The following is a 22,721-nucleotide window of genomic DNA, read 5'->3' as shown; positions in this document are numbered from 1 at the left end:
CAACAGTTTATGTATCCATTCATCTGTTAATGGACATTAGTTTTTGCCTGTTATGAGAGAGCTGCTGTAAATGTTCATGTTCATGTCTTTGTATGGACGTATGCTTTCATTTCCCTTGGGTCAGTACCCAGGAGTGGGATGGTTGGGTCATATGGTAGGTCTTTAACTTTTTAAGAAACTGCCAAACTGTTTTCCAAAGTTTCACGCACGTCCCTGTGAAGAGACCACCAAACAGGCTTTGCGCGAACAATAAAGCTTTTTAATCACCTGGGTGCAGGCAGGCTGAGTCTGAAAAGAGAGTCAGCGAAGGGAGCTGGCGGCGGGGGCGTTGGGGGGGTGCTGTTTTATAAGATTTGGGTAGGTAGTGGAAAATTACAGTCAAAGGGGGTTGTTCTCTGGCTGGCAGGGGTGGGGGTCACAAGGTGCTCAGTGGGGGAGCTTTTGAGCCAGGATGAGCGAGGAGAAGGAATTTCACAAGGTAATGTCATCAGTTAAGGCAGGGACCGGCCATTTTCACTTTTGTGGTGGAATGTCATCAGTTCAGGCAGGAACAGGCCATTTTCACTTCTTTTGTGATTCTTCACTTGCTGCGGGCCATCTGGATGTATACGTGCAGGTCACAGGGGATACGATGGCTTAGCTTGGGCTCAGAGGCCTGACACAAAGAACATTTATCATTTTACATTCCTACCAGCAGGGCGTGAGGGTTCCGGTCTCTACATATCTTTATCAACATTTGATGTGGTCAGTCTTAAATTTTAGATACTGTAAAGGCATGTGGTAGGATCTTATTGTAGTTTTGAATTAATACAAGGCTTTTAAATTGTTTAGCATGCAATAATTTATATTCCCTGTAACAGTTATATAGCTTCACATATCAATTAGTAAAAGGAGAAGAGAAGAAATGTAAAAATTATTACTGGTCCTGGAATAATAATTACAAGTTCCCTTTATAGTCCCTTTTGTGTGTTAACTATAATACTTTTTAATACATCCTGTCTAAACCTAGCAGCAGCTCTGCAAAGCAGGCTTATTTCCATTTTACAGATGAAGAACTGAGGCTGAGGAGGTGAAGTGACTGACTGAGGGGCCCACAGTTAGAACAGAGCAAAGATTTGACCTCAGAATCTGTTCCAAAGCTGATGTACTCTGGCCCTCATGCTATATTCCATTTGTAGTTCATTGTTTTTTTTTGTTTTGTTTTGTTGTTTTGTGTTTCAATCCACTTTCCCACTTTTGCTTCCTTCCCCAAACGTGGAATACAGAACTCAAGCCTTCAAAACAGCTAGCTCTGCCAGCCAACCCAACAATAAGGGAAATTATTTTTAATGTAAATACTCTGTGGAGTCACCACTTGTAAAGCCTCCAAGCCTGAAAGCCTGGGTGATGAACGAGCATGTCCTGACTCATTCGCAGCAGCCCAACCTCTGGGCCAAGTTTGTTAACACCATTTACATAACAAGAGCCCACTTCACAGAAAACAGAATTATTATTCTTATGCTGAGCCATCCTTCACTTGTGGAGCTATTTCCATTTTAGATGCAACCTTCCATTCAACAAACATTTATTTTGGATCCAGCAGCCACAAGTTGAGAGCCCATCATGAACCAGGCACGTTTATGAATTATCCCATTTATTACATGCACAGTTCTTCTCTGTATACGAATGTGGGCAAGAGTTTGGTCATCTGAATCTGGCTTCTCTGGCCCTTGCTAGTTGATGGGCTGGTCACTTCATCTCTCTGAACACCAGTTTCCTTACCTATGAGATTGCAATATATTACCTATGTCACAAAGGTTGCAGTGAAGATTAAGTGGAATAATGGAAGTGCACAATACATGTTTTATATTATTATTCCTGTTCTACTGATAAGAAAAAAGCTTTTGAGGTGTTGAATAGTTGGCTGAAACTGCACAGGTAAGTAGGGGCAGCAAGAAAATTCACATGCTCATCAGAAGGCACCCGAATTCCACATTGTTCTGTCTTCTTACTGCCACCCCACTTTGTGTCCCCACAAGACCCTCAAGAAGCTGGCGTGGAGGAACTGGAGACTGAAGAAGTTAAATGACAGAGCCACATTCAGAGCCCAGTTTTGCAGAAGTTGTGCCCGCCTATTAAAGACAACTTGGAAAATAATGGGAAAACAAAAAATTGTCTATAACTTTAACCCCAGTCCCAACCACAACCACATTATGGGGTATTTTGTTCTCTTAATGGAGAGTTATGCTTGTTTCTTAAGTAGTTTGTAATCACACTATAACTATAGTGCTGAATTCTTTGTTTTCATCTTATATTGTAGATATTTACATATAATTTTATCCTTTCTATGAATAATTTCTGATGGCTGTAGAGGAGATATCTGAGTTTATTTACCTTTTCCAGCACAGTAGGATATTCATGCCTTTCCCTTTTTCTCACTATTAATAAAAATACTGTTGCATATATTTCAGAATACTTCTTGTGGATAGATTCCCCTGAAGTAGAATCACTGAGTCAAGGATAATTTACACAGAGTAAAATTGACCCTTTTTAGGTATAAAGTCTTATAGCCACCCCCACAATTGAGATATGGATTATTTCCATCACCCCGGAAAGTTTCCCAGCATGCCTTTGTCATCCATCTCCTCCCATGACCCTAAGCCACTTTGGCGACTACTGATCTGTTTTCTGTACCTGTATTTTTTTCTTTTTCTGGATACCATATGAATGGAATTAGCCTTTTGAGTCTGGCTTTTTGCCCTTAACGTAATGCTTTGAGATTCATCCATGTTGTGGTGTGTTATCAGTAGTTTGTTCCTTTTTATTGCAGTGTAGTATTTAATTGTATGGATGTATTATGATGTGTCTGTTGATTACTGATGGACATTTGGGTTGTTTCTAGTTTATGATGATTGCAAATAACATTTTTATAAATACTTGCATATAGGTTTTTATTTGAGCATAAAGTTTAATTTCTTTTGGGTAAATACCAAAGAGTGGAATTGCTGGATTGATAGTAAGTGTATATGTAACTTTGTAAGAATCTGTCAAACTGTTTTCCAGAGTTGGTGAAACATTTTGTATTCTCTTAGGCAATTATGAGAGTTCTAATCTTTCCACTTTTTTTTTTTTTTTTTTTGAGACGGAGTCTCGCTCTGTTGCCCAGGCTGGAGTGCAGTGGCATGATCTTGGCTCACTGCAAACTGTGCCTCCCAGGTTCACGCCATTCTCCTGCCTTAGCCTCCCGAGTAGCTGGGATTACAGGCACCCACCACCACGCCCAGCTAATTTTTTGTATTTTAGTAGAGACGGGGTTTCACCGTGTTAGCCAGGATGGTCTCGATCTTCTGACCTCGTGATCCACCCACCTCGGCCTCCCAAAGTGCTGGGATTACAGGCATGAGCCACCGCGCCAGGCCTCGTTCCACATTTTTATCAGCACTTGATACTGTCAGAGTTTGTTTGTTGGTTTGCTATTCAAATACGGATCTAATGGCTATCTCGCTGTGGTTCAAATTTGCATTTCCTTAATGACTAATGATGTTGAGAACCCTTTTGTGTGCTTGTTTCCACCCATATCTCTTCTTTGGTGAATTGTCTGTGCAAATCTTTTGACCACTTTTTAAATTCAGTTGTTTGGGTTTTTTCTTAGTGACTAATGACAGTTCTTTATATATTCTGTAAACAAATCCTTTATCAGATTTTAATTTTTTCAAATATTTTCTCCCAGTCTGTGCCCTGTCATTTCATTTTCTCCACAGTATTTTTCAAAGAAGGTTTTGAACAAATAAGTTTTTGTTTTGATGAAGCCCAGTTCATCAACTTTTTATCCTATGAATCATCTTATCTAAGAAATCTTTGCCTATGTCACAGTCACAAAGATTTTCTCCTAGGTTTCCTTCAGAAGTTTTATAGCTTTAGGTCTACGTTTAGGTCAATGATCCACTTTGAGTTAATTTTTGTGTGTGATGAGACATATGGGTTGAACTTCATTTTTTTTGCATATGAATATCCAGTTCCAGTATTTGCTGCTGAATTGACTAGATATGTGTGGATCTATTTTTGCTCTATCTATCCCAGTCCACTGATCTATGCATTCTGTCATTGCATATATTTTGTCATGACCATAGCCTTGATTACTGTAGCTTTGTAATAAGTCTTGACCTAAGATACGAAGTCCTCCAACTTTGTTCTTTTTCAAAATTGTTTTGCTAGTTTCCATTGCTTACAATTTCATATAAATATTATAATCAGCTTGTCATTTTCTCAAAAAGGCCTTCTAGGCTTTTGATTGTGATTGTGTCAAATCTATAAACCAATTTGCAGAGAGATGGCGTCTCAACACCATCGGCTCTTCCAATCCTGAAATGATATCTCTGTCCATTTATTTAGGTTTCTGATTTTCCTTAAGGTTCTTAATACAATTTGTCAAATTAAAAGTTGGTTTTCTGCTTCCTTGCTAGGGTGTTGAGCACATGGCTGTGCCCTTTTGGATAACAGATTCACATGTTTCCTGCAAAAAACTCTACTAGTTTATACTTTCTCTCTATTGTATTTTATTTCCCAAGCATCTGGCTCCCTCTTTTCCACAATCCATGGCTTATAATGCATTGCCTTATTTATTTAATAGGTTTTAACTCTTTATCAAAATGTACACATCAAAAACTATAGTTATATATATAGTTTATATATATTTATATATAGTTTATATATATACTATACATCTCGATAAATGCTCATAAGGTCAAGAAACAGAACATCACCAGCACCTTGAAAGCCTCTTTGTGACCCCTTCCAATCCTGACAGCAAGGAGAACCACTATTCCAACTCCTACCCATAAGTAGTTTTGTTATGGCTTAGCATTTCATTGCAGTAAGGGACCTTCTAGGCTTCTCACTCCAGGTTCCTAAAATGTGTCTGGCCTCTTCACTGTGCTCCTTTCCCCTCTGAGCTTCTGTTAGCGCCTAGAATGCCCACTTCCTCTTCTGCCTTCTCCCTTCTTATTCCTTCTTTCAGCTTCCTTTAATTTTTTTAAAATTATTTGTTTTTATTTTTATTTATTTATTTTTTTACAGACAGGATCTTGCTCTGTTGCCCAGGCTGGAGCACAGTGGCATGATCATAGCTCACTGCAGTCTCAAACTCCTGGGCTCAAGTGATCCTCCTGCCTTGGCCACCTGAATAGTTGGGATGACAGGTGCACATCTCCATGGCTGGCTAATTTTTTAATATTTTTTGTAGAGATGGGGTCTCCCTATGTTGCCTAGGCTGGTCTTGAACTCCTGGCCTCATGCCGTCCTCTCACCTCAGCCTCCCAAAGTGTTGGGATTCTAGGTGTGAGCCATCCCACCCTCTTTCAGCTTCCTTGAAGTGTCCTCCTCATTTTTTCCAGCTCAGTTTAAGTTTCGTCTGCGCTGGGAAGCCTCTCCCTCCTCCTCCTCTCCCTGGCTTCCATTAGCATTGGACTTTCCTTCATTAACACTCCTGTCATGGTGTATTGAAGTTGCTGTTTCCATTTGACTATAAGCTCTTTGAGGTCTGGAACTAGCTTTTCTGTGGACCCAGTGCCTTCTGTGGGGCCTGGCATGCAGTAAGAGATCAGTGATTGAATGCTGGATGAATATTGAGTGTCTAGGAAACTGATTCTCCAAAAGGCTAATCCCTTTGTTCACTGTAGGTCTCCTGGCTGTCAGTCCTCACTGGCTTCTTTTCAAACTTCTTTTCCTCCTCATGTTGGCGGGCTCTTTTGTGATTTATTTATTTTTTATTTCCATGCCGCCTCTGGAGCAAGTGAGAAAATATCATAGCTCTTTTGGCTGTTTTATCCACCATTATGATGATAAGTAAGAGAGGATGATACCCTCTACTCTTCATCTGTCGTAAGAGAGCAATAGCTTTTAACCTGTAAGGTCTGTGAATCCAGTCTCCTATTTCAGTAGCAAGTGTGCAGGTATAGAAGACTCTCAGCAGTGTTTAAATCCTTCATTTATTCATGCTGCTACCGACGCATTTGGGGATGCCCGTTCACCATTACTATGAAGGCGACCATATCCCAGTGTTTCTTGCTCTGTATCAAGGTCTAGCTGCTCCTAAAAATGATGACTGGGAGTGTTTTTGTGTAGAGTTGGCACCACAGTGGCAGAGTATGAAAAATGTAGAGTCCTTCCTTTCCAATACAGACTGTATTCAGCTGTGCCTCCATCTGAATTCTGGATAAATTTCAGATAGTGGAGCAGAAAGGGAGAAAAGGGATCTGATTGACTTTAACTACCAATGTGGCTCAAATAACAATTGGAATGGTTTATATCTACCAGAATAGACGGCAGGTTTTACAAACCCTCAAAAGACAGACCCATCTATTGGTCATTTGAGTGCTCTGTTCTGATTGACTCAGGTCTAATGGGGGGACTTAACAATCTTAACCATCATCTTAGACTAGCTAGCCCAGCCAACCAGGGGATGTTGTTGGGGGAAAGGTTAAAAGTTGTTCTGGGGAAGGAAGAATAGCTGAGGCCAAAAGGGGAAGCATCCAGGAGGAGCAGCTCTCAGGGGTCATCAGTGAAAGGAGCAGAGAAGAGTATGATGAGCTGGAGGGAGGGGGTTTCAGGTGCATTGGCCAAAGTGGGCAAAGACTTGGACATTTGTCTGTGTGCATCTGGGCTTCCCCAGTCCAGGCTGCGTCTCTTCGGAGCCTCTGTGGAATCCCTCCCCAGTGGTTTTGTGAGTGTGCCCCAGGTACACATGGCAAGGGGAATGCCTCTGATTCAGGCCGTGACTCCTGGAGAGGGGCCAGTGCCCTGCATGACCAGGGCAGGACTGGGCAGAAAGACTGGTGTACCCATCCACCTTCTGTCCTTCAGGAGAAGATTGGCTGGCGAAAGGATGCACTGCATTTGCTGGTGTTCACAACAGATGATGTGCCCCACATCGCATTGGATGGAAAATTGGGAGGCCTGGTGCAGCCACACGATGGCCAGTGCCACCTGAACGAGGCCAACGAGTACACTGCATCCAACCAGATGGTGAGTGCCGGGAACCAGATCCCCCCTCCCTGTTGCCTCTCTTGTGACCCTGCCCGTGGTCTTAGTACTTGCCCAGCCTTGAAACCTTCCTCTGGCCCTCAGTATTCACTGGCTTTCTGATCCCTTCTTGGGGTTGGGTTTCATTATTCAGTCTTCTCCAACTGGGTTTCCGGAACTCCTAATTGACTTACAACATTTCTCAGGGATTTCTGTAGCTGGTTCATCTTTCTGTCAATGTGCGTCTAAATGGGAAGTGTTTGGTTGGGATACGGGTGGCCCAGGGGAAACAGGATAGATCTCATAGTGGGGAGGGTGTCTTAAAGGAGGGTGGGTGCTGTGCCCCTGCAGAAGTCACAACTGGTATAGAAGTTATGGGGCAGGACTTCCTGACTTCTAGACGTGGGCTCCCAGAGGTGGTGAGTTGCCTGTCAGTGTTAGTGGTGGTGGGCAGAAGTGTTCTGCATGGAATGAGAGGTCCCAAGGACCATCTACTCCCAACAGTCTATAACCACAACTATGCAATTTGAAAGAATTTGTGCAAAATTTCAAAGATATATAATAATAGACCAGTAAAATGAACCCTACATGCCCATCACCCAGACCCAACAATGATCAAGATCTTGCATACTCACTGTGCAATTTTCCTGCCAAAATCTGCATCCTTTTCTTTCTCAAATCCATTCTGGTGGCCAAAGAGGAATTCTTCCCAATTTTCTTCCTTAGAGAAGCCCATTTTCTCCAGTTTCAAGAGGTGGTCAGTGCCCAAGCCTTCCATCTTGTTTAAGAATAATGGAATCTGAAAAAAGGACTATAACTGTAGGACCTCACCAGATGCGGGCCCCTGTACCCATCATTAGTCCTCAAAATCCCTCAGGACACTGTTAAACTGCCTCTTAGCTTCCTCTCTTCTTCCTCTTTCTGCACCCCTGCCCCATGGCCCAACTTTTAGTCCAGAGCTCGGCACCCTCCTCTGCCCGTCTGAGCCACAAGCAGGATGAAGCAGGACCTGTGGGGGATGTTGGCAGACCTAAGCTTTAGGCATAGGAGAAGGAAAATAGGGCAAGGAGGCAGGGAGGAAAAGTCTTAGAGGAGAGAGGACAGGTAAGAGGCACTGATGACAGAGGGTAGGATGTGGTGGCTGTTCTCTAGGGCGTCCCCACTAGTCCCCCTCCCTGCTGAAAGGATGGAGACACAGACAAGATATGGAAAACCTCCACTCATCACCTCTCCACTCTGGGGTGAGAGGAGTGAATCTAGTTTGGTGAATGCCAGAGGGTCCTTTCCTTGAGGGTCTCCTCTACTCAGTTCCTTAGTTCAGGAGCTACCAAGAAGGCTTAGTTATTAAGGGACTCTAAGGGGCCACCTAAGGAAAAGGTGCTTCCCTGGCAAATGCTGGCTGCTGACTGTGCATTGGAGCCAGGTGCTGGTATCTACACCTGTTAGGAATGTCATAGCCTTGACTTTTGCCTTGGCCCTAGGACTATCCATCCCTTGCCTTGCTTGGAGAGAAATTGGCAGAGAACAACATCAACCTCATCTTTGCAGTGACAAAAAACCATTATATGCTGTACAAGGTATGCTGGGAGGGAGGGAGGCTAGTGATTTGTGGGGTGAAGTGGGTGGTGAGGAGTGTTTACAACTCTGCCTATCTGGGGGAAATTCAAAGGAGGGGTGGAATATAGCCCAGTCTTGATCTAATGGAAAATAATAGGAGGAAACAATTAAGCATTCGCATAGCAGTGAATACCTTACAAGAAATTTGAACATATAGTATCTAATTTGATTCTGAGAAAAACCTTGAAAATAGCATGAATTCCCATTTTTTTGGGTGATGAATTGGAAACAGAGAGGCACACTCTACTAGAGAAGGAAAATATAAAATGAAATGAAGATACACACAAAGAAAAGTAAGGCATCTCATCAGGCTACGTCACTAATCTCTGTATTCCAGAGCTTTATGCCTGAGCCTGCAGACTATAGGAGACCAGTGGGCTAGTCTGGCGCAGAAATTCCCAAAGAAACCAATAAATGTCCTGAGTGAATACAGCAGTCTGCATATGGATCTGTTCCATTTAAAGAAACTGTTCCTGGGTCACCCTGGACTGCCGCATTTAGTCTGGGGCAGGAATTCCCAAAGAAACCAATAAGTGTCCTGAGTGAATAGAGCAGTCTGGGTATGGATCTGTTCCGTCTAAAGAAACTGTTCCTGGGTCACCCTGGACCATCTTCAAAAACTCCCCACATGAACGTGCTCCTTCTCACAATCACAGATGAGCCAAGTTTGAATTACAGATCTCCTCGGTGTGCTCATGTAAGCTAAATGTAAACTCGTCTCTGAGATTCTTTTACGTGATGAAGCAATGAGAACTTAATCTGGAATCCCTCTCCACCCTCCACCCCCAGAACAGCTGGCCATAGTTCCCTCTCCTTCTTGCTCTTGAATGTCCACAAAAGAACCTTTGTCTGATTGTGTTTTTCTATTGCTCCTGCCTGAGATTATCACTGATAAAATGCCACTTATATTTTCTTGAGTTCTTTATCCTCCTTTAGTTCAAATCAATGTTAGAAGATGAAACAAGGGAAAAGGATTGTTTTTCTTTTTTTGTTTAGTGGAAGATAGCAGGATAAAGCCTATTCAGGGCGTGGTGGTGTGTGCCTACAATCCCAGCTACCGGGGAGGCTGAGGCAGGAGAATCTCTTGAACCCAGGGGGCAGAGGTTGCCGTGAACCAAGATTGCACAATTGCACTCCAGCCTGGGGGACAGAGTGAGATTCTGTCGCAAAAAAAAAAAAAAAAAAAAAAAAAAAAAGCCTATGCACTTACAAATAACGTTTTATGTTTTTAGAGGGCTCAATTGCACAGACTGTATTGGGTTTCCAGATATTTCCAGAGGGAAGAAGTCCATACTGGCTTAAGCATCCTTCCTCAGAGCTAAATACACCTTGCTTGGGGGAGGAAGCCCATCCAGTCCCAAGGCAGGCAGAGGGTGGGAGATGTCTCTGTCACTGTTAGAAGTGGAAGACTCAGGAGTTAGTACAGATGAAAGAGGAAAGGTGGGTACTTCAAGGCTGCCCCTTTGCCACAGGACCTCAGAGGTCCGTGGGAGGGCGCCATTCGTTCTCTCAGCTTCCTATTAAAGAAAGGGTCTATACTTGAGACCCTTGGAAAAGTTGCCCTTTTCACGCCTTCTGAACAGATTGAGCAGATCCTGAAAGCTGAACCTGTGAATACCTCAGAGACCGGGGGAGAAATGGCAAGAAACTGTCAGGAGCTGTCGACCTTAGAAGATGGGCTTTTACAGAGCTGTCTGTTACCGTGGGAGGGGCGGGGTCTCAAGACATTATCTTTTAGAGAAAGATCTTGTGAGCCCCTTTCCTATGGATCTATAGGGCTGGATATTCCACGGCGTACTGTAGCAACTCTTCTTCTGTGCCATTTCTTCTTGCTTTTCCCTGTGGGATCTTCTTTAGTTCATGGTGGGAGAAGGTGGCAGGATATGGTTCTAGGAGCCTTTACTGTTCTAGCCCAGTATAGCAATGCTCACTCTGATGGTTGGCAGGGCAAAATGAACTTATTTCTTTTCTTTACTTTTTTTCCCAAGAATTTTACAGCCCTGATACCTGGAACAACGGTGGAGATTTTAGATGGAGACTCCAAAAATATTATTCAACTGATTATTAATGCATACAATGTAAGTCATCAGTTTCTTCCCCCACTGCCACCTCCCTTCCACCCTCTCCCACTGAGGCCCTGCAGCTGCCGCGGGCTCAGGTGGGCAGTTCTCCGTGCTGCTCTTCTTGGCTCTGCTCCCCCATCCCCTTGAGTTTGGTATCTTCTTCCTGCTTCACTCAGGGTCAGGGTGGAGAAACCCATCCTTGCTTGATGAGTCTCCCTCTCACCTCTGCCATCTTGACTCTCATCTGCAGATCTCAGTGAGCCAAGGAGTGGCTCAGACTCAGGCTGGTGGCCTGGGAAGTGCTTAGGTTCTGACACCTCGCATAGGCAGGCAGTGGTATTCTCCACCTACCCAGTGCCCAGGCTAACGCTGCCACCGTATTCTCTGCCTGAGGGAGCAGAGCATCCACCAGCCACAGGACCACACTGCAAGAAGTGAAAAGTTCGCATGCTGAGCTCACCTCACAGTGGCAGGGCGGGAATCCCTCAGGCTCATGGAGCTCAGGGTAGAGCTGCAGACTAACATGGGAGAATCGACAATCCATTTTTTTATTTTTGTTTTTAATTTAAAAATATATATAGAGAGATGAGGTCTCACTATGTTGCCCTGGTTGGTCTGATCTTGAACTCCTGGAAGCAGTCCTCCCACCTCAGCTTCCCAAAGTGCTGGCTTTACAGGCATGAGCCATCATGCCTGGCCAAAGAATCAATGTTTTTGCCTACCTACTTAAGATGTGATTGTAATGAAGTCCTTTCAGAGGGTTCGTGAATGGGGCTATTAAATTCTGTGCTATTGTAACATATCATGTGAAATTGGCCCTAATATAATAAGTGTAAGTTCTTATAGAGGTGGTTTAGGAATCACTTTCACATTCCAAGCCACGCATCCACAGACTCACCTCCCAAGCCTTTCTCTTTCCTACCCTCCTTTCCCTCGATTCATAACACCCCAAAAGTACTTGACTCAGACCTACCTTCTGTCAGGCAAACGGCAGGCAGAGCTCTTGTGTTGGGAAGTGTGGACCTTCTGCTATCCCTTCTCTTGTGGGTCCCAAGATGGTTATGGCATCCATTGCCTACCCACCTGCTCAAGGCGCCAGGTAATTTCTAAATTGGCATTCAGAGTGCATCTTCCTGTTAAAACTAAGTTATACACAGACTAAGTGTGGCTTAAGTAACATTATTAATCCTAAACTTAGGTAAAACAGGTTTTTCTGGCTAACCTGGGAACCTAACGAATCAGTACGGCATCACACATCTGTGAGAAAAGTCATCTTGCCTTCCCAGCAGTGACTGATTACAAATGAGTGTTTGGAGCTGGGCCTTTCCCAATGTTGGCCTTGTCCATCTTCCAATGTGGCCCTGTTTTGAGTTGCAAAGTACTGCCCAGCTAGGGGGAACCCTGGGGCTTGGGGTGTAGCCAGCCCTGCGCTTAGTTCCCTGGAGCCTCAGTGTCCTGAAGGCAACCGGGTGGGCAGCAGTGAGGATTTTTGGCTTGTTTTTACCCCCTTTCTTCCCCCTTCCCACTGCTCCCATCTCCTGTTGTAGCCAAGGGTCCTCTTGCTCTCACAGATTCAGATACTCCTGGAACTTCCTATTGTGAGAAACTGAAGACTTCCTTCTCTCCTACCCCATTGCCCACATACTAACATCCTCTTTTCTGTTCTCTGGCCCTTAGAGCCTCACCAGATCCCATAGGCACTTCAGAACCCAGAGTGCAGTGAGACAGGGTTTCCTAATTAACTTTACACCGTAGTGCCTTTCAGATTCCACGGTGAGTGATTTGCTTTACACTTCAGGAAGAGGGGGAACACGTAAGCTGGTTATGTGGGCACAATAGGTCTGCTGAAGTGCGACACCCAGAGAGGGTTTGGGATGTGAGCCTGCATGGGAAGGAGGGGCAGGCCTGTGAATGTCACCCTCTTTCCTGGGGTGAGCTGGTGTGAGCTGTGAGCCGCTTGGGTCTCAATCTCTGGACACTGAACTAAGAGAACCAAATCAAGAGCCAGAACCCCTGCCTTGCCACTCTCCCCTTCCCTCTGAGGATGCCAGAGCTGGGAGACCCCACAGGGCAGAAGGTGCACTGCTGCTGGACCCACTCTCACAGGCAGGGAGGCCACCGCTTGCCTCCTGCTGAGTCAGGGCCTTTGGGAAGAAATGGCTGAAGAGCAGCTCATCTGGGCTCTGTTGAGTGGGGTGAGGTCCCTCTTTAAGGCTTCTGCGGAGGGGCCACTTGTCAGCATTTCATTGTCAGCCACCTCCTGAATTCAGAGCTCTGGAGCTCCCCAAGAGCATTGGCTGGTGAAGGCCCAGGCCCCCTGCTCCTGGCGGCTTTGATATCAGAGGGCATCATGGCGCACAGCTCCATAGACCTGGCTGGGCAGCCTTGCAGCAGCAGGGAAGGCACACTGGTCAGCCAGCTTCTATGTGACTGGTGGGTTCTGCGTGTCTGTGCTTCTGCTGGGACCGCTGAAAACCAGGGAGCAGGAGGCTTTCTTATTGGTTCCATGCATGGGATCTCATAAGTGCTTAGCCCTGAGCAGGATTTCTCATATATCTACATTCATTTTCCTAGTGGAAATCCAGGTACCCAGGGTCAAGGAGTGACAAGGGAAAGCATTCCCTGTGTGGTAGGCAGAGGCCAGGAGAGGAGTGTGGATCCCTCCCTGCTGATGGGGAGTGGGGAGCAGGGGTGAGTACAGGGAACAGTTGTTCTGGGCTGGAGCTGCTTTTGGAACCTGGCACGAATTCCCAGAGGAACTGTGGGAACCTAGCACTGTCGCTTGATTCTGCGAGTTAAACTGGTTCCTGTAAGTAAACATGTTGTGAAATGAAGCTGATGACTTATGAATGAACTTTGAAACTCAGCACTTTTAAAAATGAGTGATTATGACCAGGCGTGGTGGCTCACACCTGTAATTCCGGTGCTTTGGGAGGCTAAGCTGGGAGGATCACTTGAGGCCAGGAGTTTGAAATCAGCTTGGTCAACATAGCGAGACCAAAAATTTTGTGAAAATTAGCTGGGCATGCTACTTGGGAGGCTGGGGCAGGAGGATCGCCTGAGCCCGGGAGTTCAAGGCTGCAGTGAGCTATGATTGTATCACTGTGCTCTAGCCTGGGTGACAGAGTGAGACTCTGTCTCTTTTTTTTTTTTTTTTAAATTGGAAAAGAATTGTAAAGCCTTATTGACATATAATTAACATACAGCAAACTGTACTGATTTAAAGTGTATAATATGAGTGTTGGCACAGGTATACACCTGTGAAACCGTCGCCACCATAGAGATACTGAACATGTTCATTACTCCAAAAAGTGACCCTTGATAATTCCCTTCTTCCACCCCTCCCTTCAGGTGAAATTTAAAATATATATATTAAATATAGAAATGTAAAACTGCAAGATATTTGAAGCAAGTTCAGTTGGTCAAAGCCATGTCAGGGGTATGTTGGTTTCCTGTGTTGATTAGAACCTGTGATACTGTGGTACGATAAGATATATATATAGGTCTCTGCCCCTAGTTCCTAATATAAAGCCCCTAAAACCTTTATAGATAAGGACACTAGGAGAATCTTTTGTTATTATATTTGGTCTTTAACGCTGGTTCCCGACACAGAGTTTCCAAGACCATTGTAGTTTCCTGGGTAATAGGAACATCTTTTGTTCTAATGAGGTGACTCTTGGGGGGTGCTCCTGGACAGCCTCAGGATGGTGGCTGGTTGCCAGGGGAACCAGCCATGTGATTAGAGGGTTGGAACTTTCAGCCCCACTCCATGACCTCTGGGGAGGTAGAGAGGGGCTGAAGGTTGAGTGGATCACCAGTAGCCAGAGATGTGACCAGTCATGCCCATGTAACAATGCCTCCATGAAAACCCAGAAGGCCTGGATTTGGAGGGCCTTGGGAAAGCTGTGGGACAGGTTCCTGGAGAGTGGCACCAGAGAGGACAGGGAAGTTCTGCACCCTCCTCACACACCTTGCCCTGTTTCTCTTCATCTAGCTGTTCATCTGCAGCCTTTATCTCTTATTCATATGTGGGTAAGTGTAAACAAACTGTGTCCCTGAGTTCTGTGAGCCATTCTAGCAAATTGATGAAAGAAGGAGAGGGGTCATGGGAATTTGAATTTATAGCCGATCAGTTGGAAGTATAGATGACAACCTAGTACTTGTGATTGGCATCTGCGGTGGGGGCAGTCTTGTGGGCTGAGCCCTTCACCTGTGGGACCTGACACTATGTCCAGGTAGATAGTGTCAGAATTGTGCTGAATTAGAAGATAACCAACCAGTGTCCAGTAGAGAATTGCATGGTGTGTGGGGGAAAAATCCTCACATCTGGTGTCAGAAGTGTTGTGTTGAGTGGTGTGTGAGAGTAGAGTAGGAAAAACAGTTTGGGTTTTTCCTTCCAAGTACTCATCTTACTTGCTCCTGTCCTGGCCAACGGGAAAGGCTGGGCTGGGCTTCAAGCTCCTTGCACTTGGACTTTTCCCAACTTTGAGCCCCAGCACGGGCCCCTGGTCCATGTGGGGTGTGCCGGGGCAGCAGGAGAGGTTTTCGTCAGCTCTGCTCTCCTTTCACCTGCTCCGCATCCGGCCAGAGTCCAGTCACAGCTCTCTCCAGACCGCTTGTGTTTTTGTCACCTCACCGTCCGAGTGGTTTGTGTTGGATTTCATGAGTCATGCAACACATGACTAAGTGTGGGTGTTGGCTTTTACCTCCCCTAGAGTGCTGGCAGACCATCTGTGGGGACATTCTGAGCAGATTTGGGTTGGAACATATGTAACAGATGCAATGGCTGTGGTATTTGGCCAGGCTGAGGAGGGAGCAAAATGGAAAGGGTATGTTTAATTTCATGTCTTGTAGAATCAAGTCTGGTGTACACATCTCTCCGAGTGTGAAATCAAGTTGGATTTATACATTTTTTCTTGCTGTGCCAAATTCTTCACTGTGAGAAATCACCAAGTCTTCCCAAGGGAGTTTGGCAATGTGGTGCTTTGCTCTGTAATAAGTGCTGGTGAGAGAATCCCCTCCTGAGCTCAGCCGTGGAGCCCTGGGTCCACACGTGCAGAGGGGGCTGGCCTCATGTTGCACCCAGAAAGGCCTCTTTTCAGTGTGGGAGCGAACAGAATGAGTTGGAAAGCACTGGAGCTGCATGTGGAGGGTGACTTCAGAAGCTGTGGTGTATTTTTCTCTAGCAGAGCACATGTTTCTCTTTTTGTTGTTGCCATAAAGTCTGCTCCCACCCACTCCACAGCTGGCCCGACTTAAAGCAATTGCAGATGTGACCTAACCTGACCGAGTATTTAATAGCCTTTACACTTCTGACATTCCCAACATCATCTTGTTTCCTACTGGAGAACTAAGGAGTGCACCTTGAGGGGCGAATCTGGTAGGAGTTAATGGAATTTTAGGAGTCACACATAAAAGTCTTCATGTGTAAGAACTGCACTTTGACTCCATCCATTCACTTATTCAACAGATATATACCAACAGCCTAATGTGTGACAGGGATCATGCTGCACCTTGGAAATAAAATAGTGAGCAAAACACAGTCCTGCCCTCCAGCACTCATAGTTTTGGGGGCAGAGACCCTTACAACCACGATACAACCTGATGATCTCTTTCCAAAGTCACAGAGCCAAATTCCTTTTTATTTTTTTATTTTTGTTTTTTACCTTATCTGTGGACAGAGAGCCAATTTCCAAAGAAAGAAGTGCATATCAGGTGTGGGGATTAGAAAGAGCCCTGGGGTGGGTCAAGAAAGCCTGCACCCGGTCCTGTGCAGCAGAGTGGTCCCAGGCCACCTTTTCCTTGCCCTGACCTCCAGCTTCCATACATGAGAGGTTTGGGCTGCATCATCTCCACGGTTCCTGCTGCCTGAAATGTCTTAAGAGTTTCTGATTCCAGAGACTCTGTGGGTAGCAGGAATAATACAAACTTTATATCAGAACATGGGGCTTATGGCCTGAGTAGAACATAAGAGTCCATTTCCATCTAATTCTTAGTTGCTGACTCACAGAGTAGGAGTCCAAGTCCCTCTTGCTTTTTCCCAGATCCTCCCTTGGGGCTTTCGAGTGGCGGCTTGGGCAGATCTTGCTGGGGAGCACTGGTGTTTCCTTCCAAAGTTTTATTTGTGAACGACAGGGCCCCCATATTTCAAGTTATCGTTCCCAAGTAATTTTTTTACATGCCTTCACTCTTCAGCTCTTTTACAATACTGTTTTATTTCCTCCACTACTTATTCACGGTTATAAATTTATTTTTTAATATTTGTCTTAAGAAATATTTTCATCTACTTGGCCTGAGACCTTAGCATAGCTGTTAAATCATTCATCTGTCTACCCATCCATGCGTTTATTCATTCAACGACAGATTGTACTAAGTCACAGAGAGATCTATGATACAGCCCTTGGACTTCACAACATGGTAGGGAAGACAGATCTGCAAATAGCTAATCACAGGCAGCAGGAGAGTGCTCTGTGTATTGAGTGGCGCTTTTGTGACCCTTGGCCAGTTAAGGCTGGCAAGTTGCAAAGGGAAGTGGATTTAAGACGGATCATATTTTTAGAGTTGTAGAAGCACTTAGATAATTTGTTGCAAAGGGAGAGACTATTTTTTACAGAAAGTATTTTCAACAAGCTGTTAATTTGCTGGAAAACTACATATTTCACTTATTCAACTTTAGCACTATATGCTCAGCAAAAAAGAGAAAGAAAGAAAGAAAGAAAGAAAGAAAACCCACAAGAGCAAGAGGCAAGTCTGTCTGCTGTTCTCTCCAACAGCCACACTCCCTAGAGTGTACCCGAGGAGGGAGAGGGAATCCGCAGGGCCGTCTGCGGATGTTGGGGTCCTTGTCTCTCATATGGGTACATCATGCTATACTCTGTGTTGAGTGTATAAACAGACAGTTGTTTTAAATTTTCTGGTAAAATATGACCTCTGAATAAAAGCTACTTACTTCATTTGGCCTCAGTCTCCAAAGTGGAATCTTCCTTAGAGATTTTCAAAGAAATTATTATTATTATTATTATTATTCTTAATTTTTTTAAGAAACAATCTCACTCTGTCTCCCAGGCTGGAGTGCACTGGCATGATCATAGCTCATTGCAGCCTTGAACTCCTGGGCTCAAGCGATCCTCCTGCCTCAGCCCCCTGAGTAGCTACAGGCATGTGTCACAAGGACAATTTTTTAAACTAACAGACGTATAGAAAATTTCACACACTTTTCACAAATTAAATAAACCTGAGTATCCAGCACCAAGGCCAAACACACAGAACATTAGCCAGGCCCAGAAGTCCCTATTCTGCCCTCTTCCATCGCAATCCCTCAAGGGCAACCATTAATTTTGCCTGTTTTTGAATTTCATATAAATAGAGTTATACAATATATATGCCTTTGTCTCTGCCTTCTTTCTAGTAATGTTATATTTGTCAGATTTATCCATATTATTACATGTAGTCATATTTTATTATTTCTCATTACTGTATGGTATTCCACTATATGAACATACTACAATTTTAAAAAATCCATTCTACTCTTGCTAGGCACCTGAGGAATTTCCAGTTTCTAGCTATTACAAGCAGTATTGCTGTAAACATTCTTGTCCATGTCTTTTTGGTGACGCATACACTTCTGTTGGATATAATCCTGGGTGAATGCTAGGTCTGAGGTTGGCCTAAGCTTTAGTAGATATAGCCTAATGGCTTTCTATAGGATTGCACGAATTTTCACTCCCACCAGCAGGGTTGGGGAGCCCTAGTTGCTCTACATCCTTTCCCAACACTTGATGTTCTTAGTGTTGGGAAATAATAGAAAAAAACTTTACTTTTTTTCTATTCTGATAGGTAATTTTGACTTGATTTTTGTTTGATTCACTGTCTTAAGAATATAATCCACACATAAGATTGGAGTCTCTCATTATGTAGTTTCAAACTCAGGCATATGGACCTCATCTGATGGGGATAGGTATGGATGTGAATGACAGGGTGTATTCCTGGAGAAAGTGCCTGCTGAGCTGATTTTGAAGGATGATAAGGAGCCAGCCAGGAGGAGGAGAGAGAGGAGCCATTGTGCAAAGGATCATTGCCCTGGGCACATGGAAAGGCTCAAAGCCTGGAGTACACACTGCAAGATTGAGGAACTGCGTGTCTGAAGCCGAGGATGGGGATGAGAGGTGGCTCTGGAGAAGCAAGCAGGGGATGGGGCATAACCCGTTTGAAGCAGATAATATCATATGGCAGGTCAACCACTATCAACTTCTCCAAACTCACAGAGGGAGACCTCAGGCTGGGTCTAGCAAGATGTTGTGTGAGTGCAGAGAGAAGGGAAAGGATGAGGGAGGGCCAGGGAACCAAGCTCACTGGCTCTTCCTTTGGCTTGGGATTCCTGAGTTAGAGGAAGCCACGTGGGCCTCAGAAAACCAGTGTGGGAGCACCTCAGCCACAGCCTTTATTAAATGGTTGGGCTTCATTTTCTCTCTCCATTCAGAGTATCCGGTCTAAAGTGGAGTTGTCAGTCTGGGATCAGCCTGAGGATCTTAATCTCTTCTTTACTGCTACCTGCCAAGATGGGGTATCCTATCCTGGTCAGAGGAAGTGTGAGGGTCTGAAGATTGGGGACACGGTAAGTCTCACCCCAAGTTTGTATGAACTCTTGTTAGCATTGGTCATCAGTCTTTGGGTTCTAATAACTTTTGTGACTTATTAAGAGTCCTTTCGGAATTTATATTCTGTTTTCCAATTCAGCATCCCAGAGGAGTCTCCTAAGCCTGTTTTGCATGATGTGTTCAGAGTCTCAGGTGAACTTGTTAAAGAGCCCAGTCAATAGACAGCCCTCAGCGCATTGCTACCTGAGGCTTTCTTAAGTTGGCATCGTGACTTTGGTGTTTTAAACCATTATCCTCTTAGCTTGACACAGTTGTAATCAGGAGAAAGAGTACAGGTAGGAATCCAGGAGACCTGTCTTTCATTCCTAGTCTTCTGCAAATAGCTCTGTTCCTTGGATAATCTGACCCTCACTTTTCCGTTCTGTGAAATGTAAAGAAAGCCACTCCCCCCATTCTGTTTTGGTGAAATAGAATGGATGACTCTACAGCAGTGGAGGACACAGATGCCTTGTCCAGATTAAGTTTATTCAAATGATGTGTGAAGATGTGTGCCTCTGCGCTAAACCAAGGACTTGCGTGAGGGAGCAGGGAGGAGGATATGTGGGCAACAAGAACACAGACACAGACACGGGCACAGAGGCCGCGAGTGGTGATGGAGAGCTAGCCACACATCTTCTGGAGGTCCTGCTGCTAGAAGCAGATCATGAGCTCCATTCCTGACTTGCTTTGTTGACAGGTCCAGTGCTCAGAAAACAGAAAGCCAGTGAGGGATAATTCTCTTCTACACTTAAAAGAATCTAGTTAGAAACAAAAAAATTATAGAGACCTTACAAATAGGTGGCTATATCCTCTTGGCATTCATAGCACTCATGACGGCCAAGGCGGATATAAGCTGACTCATCCCCCTGGCTTCAGGGAAAGAGCTTGCGGAGACAGGGACAGTCTCGTGGCTGGTAGCAGTGGTCTCCTCGGGTTTCTCCATATTCCACTGTAGATCCTCTCCCATCCCTGCCTTCACACTTGTCCCTCACCCACTTCACAACACACAGACATACCTCTTTTTTTTTTTTTTTTTTTTTTTTTTTTTTTTTTTTTTTGAGATGAAGTCTCGCTCTGTCGCCCAGGCTGGAGTGCAGTGGCACGATCTCGGCTCACTGCAAGCTCTGCCTCCCGGGTTCACGCCATTCTCCTGCCTCAGCCTCCTGAGTAGCTGGGACTACAGGCGCCCGCCAGCCCGGCTAATTTTTTTGTATTTTTAGTAGAGACGGGGTTTCACCATGGTAGCCAGGATGGTCTCGATCTCCTGACCTCATGATCCACCCGCCTCGGCCTCCGAAAGTGCTGGGATTACAGGCATGAGCCACCGTGCCCAGCCACAGACATACCTCTTACCCTTCTCAAATCTTTCTGCAGTGCCTCGCTCCCCCAAATAAAGGGACAGTTCAAAATATCATATGGAAGTTGAGAAAATGAAAGCCTCTTATGACTGGCTACCAAGGCCTTTTCTAAGACACGTTGTTTCCAAGTTTCTTTTGCTTTTAACAAGATTGAAAGAAGGCCTAATCAAGCTGTCTGATGATAAGTCATTACAAATGATAATTTATTTATTTATTTATTTATTTGGAGAGAGAGTCTTGCTCTGTCACCCAGGCTGGAGTGCCGTGGCACGATCTCGGCTCACTGCAACCTCCGCTTCCCAGGTTCGAACGATTCTCATGCCTCCGCCTCCCAAGTAGCTGGGATTATAGGCATGCACCACCACACCTGGCTAATTTATGTATTTTTAGTAGAGACGGAGTTTCACCATGTTGCTCAGGCTGGTCTTGAACTTCTGGGCTCAAGGGATCCTTCCACTGCAGCCTCCCAAAGTGCTGGCATTATAGGTGTGAGCCACCATGCCTGCCCACAAATGATTATTTATGGCTTTTAACTCAGAAGACATTCATAGAACAAGGTGACATTGCTGTTACAAAACTCTTGTTCCCATCTTCCTATTTATGTGAACTTTTTTTGTGCTTAAATCTCTACAAATGAAAAATAGAAATATAATTGATGTGGATCCCTGTCTTGTTTAGCAATAATTAATATTATTTTACATCGGGGGGAAAGCCTCATCTCATTAAAGAGGTACTTCCAATAACATTTTACTGTTTATTTTTAATAATTGTAGGAAGTTGCAATGTATTTATGTTGTTTTCATCCATTATAATGATTGCTCAATCCAGATGATTAAAAAAAAAAACACTAATGCTTTACAGTGACAGGACAGGATTTAAAGAGATAGTTATAAAAAATGGAATGAGGCCAGGCGCAGTGGCTTACACCTGTAATCCCAGCACTTTGGAAGGCCTAGGCGGGTGGATCATGAAGTTAGGAGATCGAGACCATCCTGGCTAACACGGTGAAACCCCGTCTCTACTAAAAAATACAAAAAAAAATTAGCTGGGAGTGATGGCGGGTACCTGTAGTCCCAGCTACTCGGGAGGCTGAGGCAGGAGAATGGCATGAACCCGGGAGGCGGAGCTTGCAGTGAGCCGAGATCGCGCCACTGCACTCCAGCCTGGGCGACAGAGTGAGACTCAGTCTCAAAAAAAAAAAAAAAAAAAAAAAAAAATGGAATGAGGCAGAAATACCAAAAAACCCCAACAACATGTAAGTGAATTCTATAGATCTGTGGGTGGAATGTTTGGTGTAGCATGTCAGGAAAGCTGAAGGATAATGTGGGAAATATACCCAAACAAGGAACCCTTTACTTGGAGAAATAGGTATGATGGAAAAGAGATGGGAGAGGGATGGACTGTCTAATCTAGCATACGCCAGGTTTCAGGAAGGCTCTTGACAATTTCTAATGACATCCTTATAAATAAGGCAAATATTTAATAATATGGGTTGACAACAGCACAGTCATGCGGATTTGTAGCTGGGTGAACATGTTTTCTGAGAGTGTTGATAATGCAGCCAGAGGGAGGACTTGACTGAGGTTCCAATGTCTCTTGTCTGTTGTGTTTATCATTGGCTTGGGTTGAACTCATAGGAGACCTTATCAAATGTGGGAAGGCTGCAGAGCTGGAGAAAACAGCTTATGTTATAAAGCAGGAAAGCCAAGATTTAAAAATATTTTTCGAAATTGAGATGGATTGAAATCATGAAGATTAATGTCTTATGTTTTAGTTCAGAATGTTACTAGGATATAGGAAACTTGGTTTGATAGTAAAAGAAAAACATCTGGCAGACTATAATGGCTCAAAGGCTCAATGCAAATAAACAGTGATTAAAAAAAAAAAGTCCGCCAGGCGCAGTGGCTCATGCCTGTAATCTCAATACTTTGGGAACTCAAGGCGGGAGGATCACTTGAAGCCAGGAGTTTAAAACCAGCCTGGACAATGAAATGAGACCCCCATCTCTACAGAAAATAAAAAATTAGCCGGGCATGGTAGCGCACACC

The 22,721-nt window shown here is 44.5% G+C and overlaps 1 protein-coding gene and 1 long non-coding RNA gene across 11 annotated transcripts in view, besides 3 other annotated features; one reads left to right on the top strand and one right to left on the bottom strand.

Annotated features, from left to right (window-relative positions):
• Positions 1-22,721, top strand: part of ITGB5 (integrin subunit beta 5) — a 139,471-nt gene that overhangs the window by 73,104 nt on the left and 43,646 nt on the right. For 5 of the 10 annotated variants that reach the window (NM_001354764.2, NM_001354765.1, NM_002213.5 and 2 more), the window contains exons 6-9: positions 6,841-7,002; positions 8,481-8,576; positions 10,605-10,694; positions 19,159-19,293. In NM_001354764.2, coding sequence (NP_001341693.1) covers positions 6,841-7,002; positions 8,481-8,576; positions 10,605-10,694; positions 19,159-19,293 — 483 coding nt within the window. The remainder of the gene's footprint in view (positions 1-6,840; positions 7,003-8,480; positions 8,577-10,604; positions 10,695-19,158; positions 19,294-22,721) is intronic. The other 5 variants (NM_001354766.2, XM_006713630.4, XM_047448089.1 and 2 more) reach the window with 2 other exon arrangements.
• Positions 370-1,033: an enhancer, noted in NCBI's record as "NANOG-H3K27ac hESC enhancer chr3:124546129-124546792 (GRCh37/hg19 assembly coordinates)". NCBI's record gives its function as "activates a minimal SCP1, AML or CMV promoter by ChIP-STARR-seq in primed H9 embryonic stem cells {active_cell/tissue: H9 hESC(primed)}" and the evidence as "EXISTENCE:reporter gene assay evidence [ECO:0000049][PMID:30033119]".
• LOC124906277 (uncharacterized) lies at positions 615-11,823 on the bottom strand. Its single transcript, XR_007096042.1, has 3 exons — positions 11,653-11,823; positions 7,635-7,798; positions 615-655 (listed from the first exon to the last, which is right to left on the bottom strand). It is a non-coding gene; the product is annotated as an uncharacterized LOC124906277 (long non-coding RNA).
• Positions 1,034-1,697: an enhancer, noted in NCBI's record as "OCT4-NANOG-H3K27ac-H3K4me1 hESC enhancer chr3:124545465-124546128 (GRCh37/hg19 assembly coordinates)". NCBI's record gives its function as "activates a minimal SCP1, AML or CMV promoter by ChIP-STARR-seq in naive H9 embryonic stem cells {active_cell/tissue: H9 hESC(naive)}" and the evidence as "EXISTENCE:reporter gene assay evidence [ECO:0000049][PMID:30033119]".
• Positions 15,253-15,857: an enhancer, noted in NCBI's record as "H3K27ac-H3K4me1 hESC enhancer chr3:124531305-124531909 (GRCh37/hg19 assembly coordinates)". NCBI's record gives its function as "activates a minimal SCP1, AML or CMV promoter by ChIP-STARR-seq in naive H9 embryonic stem cells {active_cell/tissue: H9 hESC(naive)}" and the evidence as "EXISTENCE:reporter gene assay evidence [ECO:0000049][PMID:30033119]".

This window comes from Homo sapiens, chromosome 3 (genome assembly GCF_000001405.40).
Source record: "Homo sapiens chromosome 3, GRCh38.p14 Primary Assembly".
Taxonomy (NCBI): domain Eukaryota; kingdom Metazoa; phylum Chordata; class Mammalia; order Primates; family Hominidae; genus Homo; species Homo sapiens.
Note: the sequence above shows the minus strand (reverse complement) of the source record. Positions and strands in the feature narration are given on the sequence as shown.